Genomic DNA, 15,036 nt, shown 5'->3' with positions numbered 1-15,036 from the left:
TTCTTTCCCACAGGTGTGCATTTTTTAAAGTATCAGGTACAGAACAATTAATTTTATTCCTATTCAAGGTCTTTGTATACAGCCTTTAAAAAAAAAAAGTTTGTTTCCTAACCAAAAAAATAAAAGATTTCACGTAATTATCTATATTACTAGTTCTGGAACTAATGGTAGCCATTCTGATGAGACATGAGAAGAAAACTAAGAAAATCAATGCATTAATTTATGCCTATAAGTCCTTATCCAAATAAATCTTCCCCAAAGACATGGTGGAAAAAAAAAAAGATTAGTAAAGGAAATATCTCACACTTCAACATGCTATATAAGGAAAGACGGCTGAAAAATCTTGCAGGGAATTTTATCCCTTTGAACTTTCAAAAAAACTCTTAAGTAAGATTATGCAAACTTACTAAAGACCGGTCCTGATTAGAGGGAAAAAATGCACCCCTTCTCCAAGTCAGTTCTGGAGGCTTTCTCCAGAGTTGTTAAGGTTTGTGTTGGGTAAAGAAAGACCTCCTAACAAACCAGCATTCTTTTCCACATGATCAGAGCTAATTGGCCCCCCTGCAGGCTAAGTGACCAATCACATCAACCTCAGCTGAAACCAGCCCCCACAACATTATAAACAGAGGAATGTAAGCTGTAAAACCAGTCCAAGAAGAGAACCTACAAACTAGACTTGTAGATTAAAATTATCTGATCAAAAAGGCAGACTCTGTAAATTTCCTTAAGACCTACCTTGGCATAAAGGCTGACCCAGCAAAAGAACTGGTGAGTACATGCAATAATATCCATTCTTCTTTCCTTATGGGAAACAGGGAAAGAAACTGACTGGCAAATAGCAACAGAGCTAGATTACTTCCAACAGATTTTTAAAACAAAGACATTATCTATAGTGTAGGATAGTAAGGTTTCTATATTCTTTTCCCTTAAATCTTAAAAATGCAATAACAGCCATATTGAATGTATTACTGGAAATTTTCTTAACTGTTTTATTAAATGTATACTAATTTTCTATTACAATATATCAGTAGAGGATAAAGGCCTTAGGAAAAAAAATTCAGTGGCTTGAGGAAAAAAAAAGTCTTTTTCTTTTGGAAGGAATTTCAAAAACCCAAAATGAGCATAAAAAAACAAATGCCAAAAGAATAAGCCACTTTGTTTTTACTTCTGTAATCTAAGAAGAAAGTGATGAGTATCCTAATCGTAAATTTTTAAGCATGGAATTATTGCGGAAATTAATAGATACTTCTGCAACTGAGAAATTAAAATAGAATCTCTGAGCTTATATAACAGGGTTAGAACTCAATAGTGTTTGCCCTAATTGTGGAGGGCAGGAGAAATCATTATAAGACTTTCAATATAGTCTTAAAGTATTTACACCAGACATGAACAAATACATAGTAATGCCATCTTCATTTAATGTTTGTTAGTTATAGCCTTTATCTTAACTCCTCAGTATGAACTATACTATTTTTTATCATGGCAACAGAAAATACATACTTTTAAGTGCTACAACCCAATGAGTAGAATGAATTCTGATGATCAGTGAAGCTGCCTATCATTTTTTAATAGGTACTATTTTTCCTCCAAATAATTTATAAATGGGCAAATATTTTACAGCCCACACACAGCAATAGAAGCAAACCTTCCCAACCTTCCACCTCACTTTCTATTGGGATCAGCTGATGAGACTTAAATATCAGGTAACAATAGTATAATTTTTTAAACCATACGAGCAGACATCAAACTATACAGAAATAAAAGAAATCATATAGGAAACTTGTATCCTTTGTAGGAAGTGGAAATATGTTTGTTTACATAAGTCTGTAGAGCTTTAAGAAATCTTATTATCATAATTCCCTCTTTTTTCACTTTCTTTGTTTTAATCTAAGGATGCCAGGCCAATGGGATTGAGTGGTTTGCCCAAAATGACACAGCTATGTAACCAACAGTGCTAGAGCCTGAAGGCCATATCCCCTTATCCTGCGTTCTCTACACTAAACCACACTGACTATAAGAGTCCACAGAATAGTTATTCAGGGTAATTGGTTAAGTGGGAATCAGAAATCAATCTTCCTTCTCTATATTACTCCACTTGCCAACACAATCCAAACCAAATCCAGCAGTCTTAGGTTAAAAAAAAAAAAATGCTGCTTAACTGTTCCGATTATCAGCCTTTTGACTTCCCTGTTCACAGGTTTTTCCATGTATTTAGTTGCAAGAGAAAAAAAATACAATTGTAAAGAGCCTAGAGTAAGAGTGCTACAAAAGTTGTAGGTAAGAAGTAACAACAGTCCTGAAAAAGCCCAAATGAGAATGATGAATTTTGTTAGCTACAGTCTATACAGAAAGGCTCTAAGTAAGGAATTTTAGAACTTTCATAAAATAGGTTGAAAATACAAAAGAATCATGGAGTTTTTTCTTTCTCAAGCTTTTGTGAAACACTAAGCACTTAGCAGCATTCAGTAGGACAGTGGCTCCAAATGTGGAACAAGCACTAGTGTCCAGGAGCATGAGGGGCATTTTCACATAGGCAGGAAGCAACAACAGTGGAGAATGACAAAGTTGTTCACCCACCATTTTGAAGGCAACCAACTATCCTTTCATTGTTATATCCTTCTTCCATGTGTCAAAATCTTTTATTATGTCATCATAATTTTATTTATAATGACAGTATTATACTTGTAAAATTGTCTTCTCATCTGGCAAAACAGAAACTTGGCAATGTTATGTCATAACTCTCCTCTCTACATTGCTTTAATTTTACTGATGTGCAAAACACAACTGGACTATCTAATAATTCAGACTGTGATAATCTTCAAGTCTTGAAAGAAGTCTTTCCTAACTGAATATCTGTTTCTAACCTACAAATAATAGGTCTGAACCCAATAAACATTACTGAAGAACAAACACTCTGGAGCGGCTCTTGAACAAAACTAATCAAATGAAACTGTATTATTCACAAAGGCTAAGCAGGGTCAAACATCTGTTTTGGAGGCAATATGGCACTAACTCTGGACTCAGAATGTATAATATTCATATCCACCACTTACTACCTCATTATACCTCATTTTCTTTCTTTTTTTTTTTTCTTTTAGAGACAGGGTCTCGCTATGTTGGCCAGATCGGTCTTGAATTCCCGACCTCAAGCAATCCTCCCGACTCAACGTCCCAAAGTGCTAGTGTTACAGGCATGAGTCACCATGCCTGGTTCCTCACTTTCGTTATCTGTAAAATGGGACTAATAGTGATACTTATTACTGTGAAACTTAAGACACCTTTTTTTTTTTTTTTTTTTTTTTAAATAGAGACAAAGTCTCACTACGTTGCCTAGGCTGGTCTCTAACTCCTGGACTCAAGCAATCCTCCTGTCTCGGCCTCCCGAAGTGCTGGGAGCCAGACACGTTTTTAATAACAATAAAGCAACTAATACTTTACTGAGAGCTTACTCTGTGCCACTGGCTTCACATCAGTTTGTACATATGAAGTATTTGGTATGATTCCTGGCACATGCTAAACAATATATATATTAGCTAATATTATTAATCATTACTATCTAAAGAATCATGAACAAAGTTAACAATGGTTTAATACAGATACTTGAGACAGTTTCAGGGGCAAGAAAGGCATCTACTAAAGGTGCTAGAAATTTGGCTATCAAAGACCTTCTTGAGAATGCAATATCAATCATTTTTGGAAAGACTGTTATTTCACCAAACGCTTCCTGTATTAAAAAAAAAAATTAACTGGCTTTGAAGTTAGCTAGACTTGAATAACCATCCAAATAATCCAAAGCTCCTATTTGCCTTGTGTAAATTTCTTTTATCTGTCTGAGCACCAGTGACTTCATCTGAAAATGGGAACAATGGCTATCTTGTTGAGATACTGAAGAATTAAGAGATAATACAGTATGAAAGCAGTTATCACAGTGCCTATGAAGATTTTGTTGTTTCCAAAGCGTAGAGATCAGGTCTCCTAAAACATTTAAAAATAATCTAACAAAATAAGGGTCATTAAGTAGCTATGCCAAGAAAAAAGAATACACTAAATGATTATGACAACTTGTTAGGGTAATAAGTTATAAAACATTAAAATAATGCACTAAGATTTTTTAAAGTCTATATCATATGAAACTGAAATCGCCATCTAACCTAAATAAACTGAACAATCATCCCAGTGTTCCATTAGCTCAAATCTGAAGAAAATACAAAAAAAAGTCTCTAATCACCAATAAATGTTAAGTTACCTCAGAGCAAAAGAAAGTTGTATATACCCAGGTGGCCAATATCCAATTCCAACAACACAGAAAGGCAGTCTCCAAAGCCTCAAAGTCCCGAGATATAGGAACTAGGAAACCCAAGCAACAACCTAGCTCCACAAGTCTGTAGTGCCCTTCTCAAGCCCCATTAAAAGGCAGGAAGTGGGTATGCAGCACTCTCAAGGGTATCTACCTCTAAAGGAAGAAGCAAAGAGGACAGTCAAATATAAACTCATAGTCCTGAATTGTAGCAAACAAGAGAGGCTCACTCAAGGGAAGCAAAGCTGCATTTCCTGTTCTGTTCCTAGTAACTGCTACACTAAAGTCTTAAGACACCTTTGTCATACGCAAGGATGATTACAAGGAAGGCACACATTAGATTTCTACTCACCACCTTGAGAAAAGGATAACCACTGATGAAAACTGTTTGCAGCAGAAAACTAATTATACTAATGTTATCTTTTTAAAATTCTTATTTAACCCCTTAATGATTATTTTAGTTCATTGAACTATTCAACCTTTTTCTTCTAGTTTACTTACTTTTAAAGCTAATGCTATCCAGAAATGTCTTCCTGGAATTTCTTATTTTGCCAAGAAACAATTCTCTTTCTACCCCCCAATCTAATCAGAGCCTAGAATATGCAAAGAGATAGCAATCCATCATCCAGGACAGAAAGAATCCACGAACATGGTTGCAAAGTGACAAAAACAAATAAAGCCTAATCATAAAACTCTAAATAAGACCAGGTATGGTGGCTCACCCCTGTAATCCCAGCGCTTTGGAAGGCTGAAGTGGGAAGATGGCTTGAGAACAGGAGTCTGAGACCAGCCTAGGCAATATATTGAGCCCAGTACCAACAAAAATTAAAATTCTAAAAATTTGCTGAGGTTGCAGTGAGCTATGATTGTGCCACTGCACTCCAGCCTAGGAGACAGAGCAAGACCCTGTCTCTAAAAATACAAATCAATAAATCAAACTCTGAATAGGCTAATTATAAAGCATACATTAGAACTACAAACCTCTAAAAGCTTACCACAAATGTAAGCCTTGTCCTATACTAAATCTGGCTTCAAAGGATTTGCAGACAGTTTAATAATAAGCTTCCAAATGACTTCTAATTATTTACACAGAAGAACACTTACATATTTAAACATACCCCTTTTAATTATGAATAATGCATAATTATAAATTAACTATGAAATGCTAGTCTTTATACACAATATTTGGTCAAATCAATAAATGCTTGACACCCGGACTTGTGCAAGGAAGACACAGGGGTATATAATCTCTACCTACAGGAATTCTAAAATATACTTAGAAAATGTTTAAGTGTTAAACAATGTTTTAACTGTCATTCAAAGAAACAATAGAAGAGATATTTTAAGGTAACACACAATTAGCTCCCAAATGAATGACTTAGTAAATGCCATCTAACGTGAAGAGAAAAGCGAGAGAGTTGGCAAAGTTGTGGTTAGAGAAGCATTCCCAAGAAAGCAGAAAGTCCATGAGCTCTCCAAATTCACAAACATTAACTATAAAACAGTTAAGAGCTTACTAATTTACTCTTGATTTTAGAGAAATACAGCCTGAGATGGACAGCAGTAATTGCAAAGTTATTGCTCCTCTCCTAAGTCAAAGATACCGGAGGATGGTCACCAAGGATGGCCACAGCACACTTCAAATGGATGGCGCTCAAAGAGGTCTTGCATATCTTCGAGATGCTTGGGGAATCCTAATGGACATGCGCTGGCGTTGGATGATGTTGGTCTTTTCTGCTTCTTTTGTTGTCCACTGGCTTGTCTTTGCAGTGCTCTGGTATGTTCTGGCTGAGATGAATGGTGATCTGGAACTAGATCATGATGCCCCACCTGAAAACCACACTATCTGTGTCAAGTATATCACCAGTTTCACAGCTGCATTCTCCTTCTCCCTGGAGACACAACTCACAATTGGTTATGGTACCATGTTCCCCAGTGGTGACTGTCCAAGTGCAATCGCCTTACTTGCCATACAAATGCTCCTAGGCCTCATGCTAGAGGCTTTTATCACAGGTAATTTTGTCTTTGTTCTTAAAAAAAACAAAAACAAAAACAAAACAAAACAAAACTACAGGTGTTTGGAAAGGGTATAGTCAGTTATAAGTAATGCTGTTACAGAATAATTTATCTATATTGATAGCAGGTAATGTCTAAGATAGAAAAGAAACAGTTTAGAGCCAAAAAAAATAGGAGAAATGCATAAGGAACCTGTCTCAATGCCAAAATTTTACTTACTGTAACTACTTAAGAAAAAAGAGATCAGTATGATACTAAATTGCAGAAATATCCCATATCAAAAAAAAAAAATTAACAAAAGGTTTAAAAGGAGGTTTTCACTGAAGCTAATCATTTTGTCAAATACATAAATAAATACATTCAATACCTATTTTGACAGTCATTTTACCTAACAAAAGAATTTGGTTTTTTTTCTTCACTGAGCTAGAATTCCCTCCTATGAGTTCATCTTTTCAACATTTACTTTATGCCAGTGAGCCCAGAACACCACAGTCAGCATTATATGTTAGAGAACAAGTTATGTATACACATTCTTAGCAAAATGCACTGGAAATATGTCCACAAAGATTATGAAATTTTGCTCATGAACACAGAAAACTCTTTCCTTTAAAGGAGGACTAGTGCCCTTTTTATGTGACATACATAATTTCAAAAGAAAACTTGGCTTTAATATACTATTCAATAATAATCTGAGAAGGTAAGCATTGGGCCGTATGAAGAATGATCTGGAATGAAATCCCAGTGTGCTACCAACCAGCTCTATAACCTGCAAATCACAAACTTCTACAACAAGAGTTCCTATACTGGGTCAGTCCTTTGCATACAATTAAGGGGGTCTATAAACTTATATGGGAAAAACTTGTATCTCTTGGCACTAACCACTAATTGAAATTTGGCATCTCCTACAGGCAACAAAAAACAATACCACCAGCAGTATTAGTAGCTTTGATTCAAACAGAAATCATAAATATTTTGTCATATCAAACCAGAATACTTGAAAATCACAGTACTAAAACCACCACTAGACTGTTATTTAATGTATCAGTAAGGCACATATAGTACTATAATAACATTTCTTAAATGTTCAACTGAATTTCAATAATTTGGTTTCTTTTATATTTTACTTTTAAGCACTTAAAACATAATTCTGGTAAGTACTTACTTCTTAGACCTTACCAACAGCCCGCCAACAAAATCTGTGGCACAAAACTGATTAAGAAACTCTTATATATAGCTTAGGGCACAAGGAAGATAGACCTGAAAGGTGCACTGAAATTACCTGATAGTCAGTCCTCCCCTGCCCCACAAAAGGTTTCTGAGTTTCAAAGTTTAAAAATACGTTTCAAAGTTTAAAAATTCTTCAAAATATCACTTTTTTTTTTTTTTTTTTTTTTGAGATGGAGTCTTCCTCTGTTGCCCAGGCTGGAGTGCAGTGCTACAAACTTGGCTCACTGCAATCTCCTGCCTCAGCCTCCTGAGTAGCTGGGATTACAGGCATGTGCCACCAGACCCAGCTAATTTTTGTATTTTTAGTAGAGACGGGGTTTCATGATGTTGGCCAGGCTGGTCTCAAACTCCTGACCTCAAATGACCCGCCCGCCTCGGGCTCCCAAAGTGCCGGGATTACAGGCGTGAGACACCATGCCTGGCCAAAATATCACTCATTCTATTGGTCCCCTCCCCATCCCAAATCATTCTACTCTGAACCTAGTCTCTACTTCAACGTAATCTGGCTGTAGCCAAGTTGCATTTATTTTCTATTACTTTTTTTTAAGCACAGGCAGGAATATAGGAAATGACCAATTCTTTGACTTTGTAAGAAACTAGAGGATGAAGTTTTACATTTCTCTGTAACAAAATCATTTTGCTTATCTATTCTGAAATCATGGTTTTTAAACAGAAATGTACTTTGAAAAATGCTTCAGGCAAATAAGACTGACCAAATTAACAATGAGTTCAATTCCTGACTCACTGAAAGGCATGGCACCAAGAAATGTGTAAATATTTGATATACACTTGTCATTCAGAAAAAGTATTGATATTTAAAGTCTTCATTCTAAAAAAAAATCAATAATTTCTTATTTAGGTGCTTTTGTGGCGAAGATTGCCCGGCCAAAAAATCGAGCTTTTTCAATTCGCTTTACTGACACAGCAGTAGTAGCTCACATGGATGGCAAACCTAATCTTATCTTCCAAGTGGCCAACACCCGACCTAGCCCTCTAACCAGTGTCCGGGTCTCAGCTGTACTCTATCAGGAAAGAGAAAATGGCAAACTCTACCAGACCAGTGTGGATTTCCACCTTGATGGCATCAGTTCTGACGAATGTCCATTCTTCATCTTTCCACTAACGTACTATCACTCCATTACACCATCAAGTCCTCTGGCTACTCTGCTCCAGCATGAAAATCCTTCTCACTTTGAATTAGTTGTATTCCTTTCAGCAATGCAGGAGGGCACTGGAGAAATATGCCAAAGGAGGACATCCTACCTACCGTCTGAAATCATGTTACATCACTGTTTTGCATCTCTGTTGACCCGAGGTTCCAAAGGTGAATATCAAATCAAGATGGAGAATTTTGACAAGACTGTCCCTGAATTTCCAACTCCTCTGGTTTCTAAAAGCCCAAACAGGACTGACCTGGATATCCACATCAATGGACAAAGCATTGACAATTTTCAGATCTCTGAAACAGGACTGACAGAATAAGACTTATCCATTTTTTAATGTATTAAATACACCCAGCCAGTTATGCAGCTACTTTTTCTTTACTGTATCTCATGTTTTCTTTTTTCAATGCTAATTATAGCTCTCTACATCACGGTAATCATGCCTATGCCTACATAAGAATGGCTGAGCTAACAATACACATTCTGGAAACATAACACTCTACATTACAAAGTTTGTTACCTGCTGAAATCAATGTAACTCAACTTGACAGACACTTATACAGAAATGTTGCTGGTGAATTTATAAGAATGTGGTATGATACTAGTAATGAAGGCAAAATGGACAGTGAAGTTTAACACAACTGAACTCTAAGAAAATCAACCATTAATCTCTCATTTTCATCTGCAAATTGAAGCAACAGTTTAGTTTCAAACCTAGCTCCCTGGGTGGAATGACGACTTCACTATACTTAGTGAATATCCTTTAAGAGCTGGGATTTTTTTCAAGACAACAAAGATCATTCATTTGGTTCTTTATACTATGAAACTTGAGTAAGTATTACCTCCTTAATTTTTAACAACTAAGAACAAAAATTAACGAGAAAAACAACAAAGTACAGATTTATACATAAACCTAAAAGCATTTGAACATGACACCCGAACACATACATATATGTTCACTTATTTGTGGCAGAAGGTGATCAGATAAGCTCCAGCCCAAATGGAACCTGTGGGGTGGTATTTTGCATTGCAAGGAGACGCAAAATTTTATTTTAAAACTGTCCTCCATAATAATCAAACGGTGATTCATCTAAATGACTTCTAGCAACCTAAGTAAAAACATTCCCCTCCTATGTATGATTCATTTGATCATATAAAACATCATGATGGCTCTAATTCATAAATACAAAAATATATTTAAGTCTTTATAGATATAAAGCTTTACTTAGATATAACTTGAGTGAGTAGGGAAAAAAATCTACAGTAGATAAAGCAAAAGATAATTAGGCAACAAAGCATTTTCAAACTCAAATTCCTGTTTCCAACTTCAAATAGTTTTTTCTATAAACACAAAATCAGTGTTTATTCACCAGTAGGAGGTTGGACTAGATGAACTCTATTATTTCTTTCTAAATCTAATAGTCTATAAAAATTATGTTTCCTCTGTTTTTTATTTTATCTATGCTAAAATGAGCCCTTTCCCTTATGTCCAGTTTAAGATGATCATTTGCATGATTTTCATTTCAATAAAAAAAAGAGAAACTGTCCTTAAAACAAAACAAAAACCAAAAAAGTCACCCTATCAGGTTTCAAACAGATTTGTGGCTGTTCTTTTCTGAAATTTCCCTTATTCAGGTTTCTGTGGGAAAAATGAAAGATTAACCTTCCCCACTGGTGATGACCTAGGCAGGAATCATCTCTTGAAATAAATACTAGCTGAGTAAAGGCAAGCAGGTGTGAAGAGCAGGGCTCAGCAGCAAGTCACATTTTTCTACTATTTGACCAAAAGGAAAAGAAAATAAAGAAGAACTCTGGAGTGGTCTAAGACTGATAATAGCAGAAGAATATCAAGAACACAGAAACTTAATTATTGTGAACTTTTGCTGTTTGAAAATCTTAGACATTCATTCTTAAGTAGAAATCAGACCAACAGATTTTCCCAACCCAAGACTATTGTAACACATAAAGACAGCAAGAATTCTTATTTCTATAATAAATTAACAAGATTCACCTAACCTTTGAAAATAAAGTAGTATTGAAGACTTACATGGTATGTTTTTTCCTAAAGGCACTACATCACTTACACAGTTCACCCTCTCGCTTGTTAAGTGAAGCTGCCCAAGGTGACATAAGTGAATGAGTAAAACCTGAGATCTAAGGTTCCATTTAAGTCAGATGAGTTTCATATTATACTTACTGTTTATAATAAATTTGGCATTTGAAAACTAAATATGACTTCCCCTACACATGCCAAAAAAAACTATTGGTAAACTACTGTTATTTAATAAACACTTTATAAATCTATAAGAAACGTGATCCAAAACTTTTTTGCAGGAGATAGAAAGTTTCTGGGAGGACTGTTCATTGTTTCTTTCACTTATTTCAAATCACAGTTTCTAGGTTAAGGATTAGGTTTTCTATAGAAAGACCATTATCCTCTGAGGAAAAGGAAGTAACAATGGAAAAAGGGCGGAAATTACTGGGAGGGAGGAATGGCTGCTCTGCCTTTCTGGATGTGCAGCTCACTAACCTGGATCATCTGGGAGCTTGGTCATGAAGTCTTGCACACATGATCAGGAAGACTACTTCGGAACTAACTTTAAACGTTCCTTTGGAAACTGATAAAGATAGCATGACAGTTTCAACAAACTGGAGGCATGTCGTTACCTAAAAATCTCAGGGGCCTAGTTTTACATATGTACAAGCCCATACTACCAAGTACCAGAAGAGTCTATAACCAAAAATTGCTATGTCTATTAACAAGTACTTCATACCAAAATACACTAATTTGTATTGCACTGGGCTGAGTGAACCGGTATCATATGGATTATTTTTTAATAATCCTTTCATTTCACCCTTACAGAATCATACCATAAGATGGGCACCAGAACTGATCTCCCCCTGTGCACAATCAATTCCTACTGAGTAGGAATTCTAATTCTAGTATCAAAGACATTTTTCCACCTTCACATTCTCCTATGGTTGTTCACAGGGGTTATGCAAGCTTCTTACATCTTACAAGACATCTTACATCTAAAGATGTCTGTAATTCTACCCATTTCTCTTTTCATGAGAAGCAAATACATGGTAAGCATCATTCCTAATTTTAAAAAGAATAGATCATCCTGGAATCTTCAGTACTTGAACTGTCTTAATGTGATGTCGTAGGATATCTCACAATATACTCATATTGACCTCATACTGATCAATGTATCAGTGTGCCTGAACAAACTAGTTTAGTATTGCTACTCTTGGAGAGTGTAAGATATAATTATGAACAATGTTTTTTAAAGACCTACATTATCGTCAACAAAAGTGGATTACTTCCAAAAAGTAAAAGCTCAGAATCTTTAGCAGTTAACCTGAAGTGAGCATCTTTTCAAAAAGCATTCAATCAAAGTGACTATGACATATTAGAATATGTATGTATGTGGAAATTACCATGATATTTTAGTATACTAGCAGTTATATAATAGTAGATACTAACTAGAAGTTAGTATCCTTAATATTCTGAGATACTTCATGTTAGTTTAGTTTTATGGAACCTGCCTTTTCAAAGATATACCAATGGGATGTAAATAAAAGAACCTTTACCTTTAATAGAGGGTGGCTAAGAAAATTACCCTCATTGGATTAATATAGTTAAAATATGAAAACCACAAATAACAACGACTAAACTTGACTATTCCAAACCACCAAAGTGTGAATATGTGTGAACAGTTAAAACCAGGCTATTGTTCTATCAACTCACTACTTTCCCAAGGCAACCCAAGCCATTTTCAGACAATTCTAATAATTAGATCTTTTAAGATTGTGTCCAATACCTGCCCCCTTGAACCTTCCAACAGTTAGCCCTTTTCTGCCCTTTAGAAACATACAGATCAAGTCTAAGTCCTCACCTCACATGATCATGATTAGTAGGCAGGTATTGATAGAGAGTGACCCTATAAGCCCTCCTCCCCACTCTGCCCTGTCCACAATCTTGTCTCCTATCTAAACAGCTCCATTTCCTTCACACAGTTCCCATCGCAAGGCTTCAAATGCCCCAGCCCTCCTACTCAAATGTGTGGACCCTTTCAAGGGGTGGTCCCAGAAGTGAACACAATGCTTAGGCTTGCCTGTGACAACATAAAAGACAATGGGCCTATCACCTGACTCACTGAGGACACTTTAGTAAATACTGCCCATGGCTGAGAGGACATCAGCACACCGCTGATGAACATGAAGCCCAGAGTCACTGAGAGGGTTGTATCCTTTCCACAGAAGGCTGCTTTTACATGCAGCCACTCCTTAAATTCTGTAATTTCCTTATGTAAGACTTTTCATTTCTGCTGTTAAAATGCCCCATTTGATTAGATTTGGTCTCGATTCACCTTGATTCTGATCCCATGTCCTAACTGTTCCACTCCATAGATATCCCTCACAATATTGAATGATTTGAAAATCTGATCAGCATACCAACAATATCCTCTAAAGAAATATTTTGCACCTAGCACATAAGTGAGAATTTAATATTTGTTGAATGAATAAATGAGTTCATATGCTCTTATTTACAGTAATCCCGCCTTATCCACAGTTTTGCTTTACAGTTTAACTATGGTCAATCATGATCAAAAAATATTACAGTACTTTGAGAAAGAGACAGAGACCACATTCACATAACTTTTTTTTTTTTTTTGCAGACAGAGTCTTGCTCTGCCAGCCAGGCTGGAGTGCAGTGGCACAATCTCAGCGCACTGCAGCCTCCACCTCCCGGGTTCAAGCGATTCCCCTGCCTCAGTCTCCCTCAGTAGCTGGAAGTACAGGTGCTCACCCACCACGCCTGGCTAATTTTTTTTTGTATTTTTAGTAGAGTCAGGGTTTCACCATGTTGGCCAAGCTGGTCTCCAACTCCTGACCTCACGTGATCTGCCAACCTCAGCCTCCCAAAGTTCTAGGATTACAGGTGCGAGCCACTGTGCCCAGCCTCACATAATTTTTATTACAGTATATTGTTATAATTGTTCTATTTTATTATTAGTTATTACTGTTAATATCTTACTGTGCCTAATTTATAAATTAAACTTTATCATAGATATATATGTATAGAAAAACACAGTATTTATGGGATTCAGTACTATCTGTGGTTTCAGGCATCCACTGGGGGTCTTGAAATGTATCTCCCACAAATAAAGGGGGAGAACTACTATAATCCTAAAAATTCTGTAAGGCATTATCACTCATTTTATTATGAGACTAATGAGATCTGAGAGCTTAGAATAACCATGATCTTCTGATTGCAAATCCTGTACTCTTTAAACTACTGTTCATCCCCTCTACATATTCATGGCAAAAGTACTGAATCAGACAAGGATGGGAGCAGAGGTCTTGACAAGCCCCCCATGATTATGTTAATCCAACAGTCTACAATATGGCTAAAGCTAACAATAAACTATCTACCTAGTCTGTTCCCAATTTCCTCATGCTACACACCTTTAATTTTTTTTTTGACAGGGTCTCACTCTGTCACCTGGGCTAGAGAGTGCAATGGTGTGATCACGGCTCACTGCAGCCTCGACTTCTTGGGCTCAAGCTATCCTCCCATCACATGATGGCCTCCCAAGTAGCTGGGACTACAGGCACATACCATCATGCAGGTCTAATTTTTGTACTTTTTTGTAGAGACATGGTTTCACCATGTCTCCCAGGCTGTCCTGCCTTGGCCTCCCAAAGCACTGGGATTATAGGCATGAGCTACCACACCTGGCCTTAACGGTTTTCATTAATATAAATATAACTACGTATTCCCAATGCCACATTCATAAATGAGAAATTTTAATTATTGATATCTTTAAGTTTTTAACAGAAACAGTGATACAAAGCTGACTGTTAAAATTACTTAGTTTTTAAAACAATCTGCAAGTCAGTCTGTGAATGGTATTTACATATTTAACATTTGTTTATAAGAAATATTTACCACTGCCCGGTACAGTGGCTCATGCCTGTAATTCCAGCATTTTGGGAGGCTGAGGCGGGTGGATCACGAGGTCAGGAGTTCAAGATCAGCCTGGCCAACATAGTGAAACCCCATCTCAACTAAAAATACAAAAATTAGCCAGGTGTGGTGGCACGCACCTGTAGTCCCAACTACTCGGGAGACTGAGGCAGGAGATTCACTTGAACCCGGGAGGCATAGGTTGCAGTGAGCCGAGACCACACCATTGCACTCCAGCCTGGGTGACAGAGTCTCCAGCCTCTGAGACTCTGTCTCAAAAAAAAACAAAAAAAAAAACAAAAAAAAAAAGACATGATTAACACTATCAGTTATAATCATGCTCTGGAGAACTTTTTTAG

The 15,036-nt window shown here is 36.4% G+C and overlaps 2 protein-coding genes across 9 annotated transcripts in view; one reads left to right on the top strand and one right to left on the bottom strand.

Annotated features, from left to right (window-relative positions):
- GIGYF2 (GRB10 interacting GYF protein 2) overlaps positions 1 to 15,036 on the bottom strand; it is a 163,275-nt gene that overhangs the window by 83,393 nt on the left and 64,846 nt on the right. Inside the window, exon 10 of one of the 5 annotated variants that reach the window (NM_001103147.2) lies at positions 736 to 801. The exons of the other annotated variants lie outside the window; for them this stretch is intronic. Within the exon in view, the coding sequence (NP_001096617.1) occupies positions 736 to 801 (66 nt within the window). The remainder of the gene's footprint in view (positions 1 to 735; positions 802 to 15,036) is intronic. 5 annotated transcript variants of the gene reach the window in all.
- KCNJ13 (potassium inwardly rectifying channel subfamily J member 13) lies at positions 648 to 11,411 on the top strand. 4 transcript variants are annotated; one of them, NM_001172417.1, is made up of 3 exons: positions 648 to 768; positions 6,068 to 6,310; positions 8,400 to 11,411. In NM_001172417.1, exons 2-3 carry the CDS (start codon positions 6,091 to 6,093, stop codon positions 9,020 to 9,022), a joined length of 843 nt encoding a protein of 280 aa, NP_001165888.1. In that variant the 5' UTR covers positions 648 to 768; positions 6,068 to 6,090; the 3' UTR covers positions 9,023 to 11,411. The 4 variants fall into 4 exon arrangements, with proteins under 4 accessions (NP_001165888.1, NP_001165887.1, NP_002233.2 ...); NM_001172416.1 differs by having other exon boundaries at positions 5,835 to 6,074; NM_002242.4 differs by having other exon boundaries at positions 5,835 to 6,310.

This window comes from Homo sapiens, chromosome 2, assembly GCF_000001405.40.
Source record: "Homo sapiens chromosome 2, GRCh38.p14 Primary Assembly".
NCBI classification, from domain to species: Eukaryota; Metazoa; Chordata; class Mammalia; order Primates; family Hominidae; genus Homo; species Homo sapiens.
Note: the sequence above shows the minus strand (reverse complement) of the source record. Positions and strands in the feature narration are given on the sequence as shown.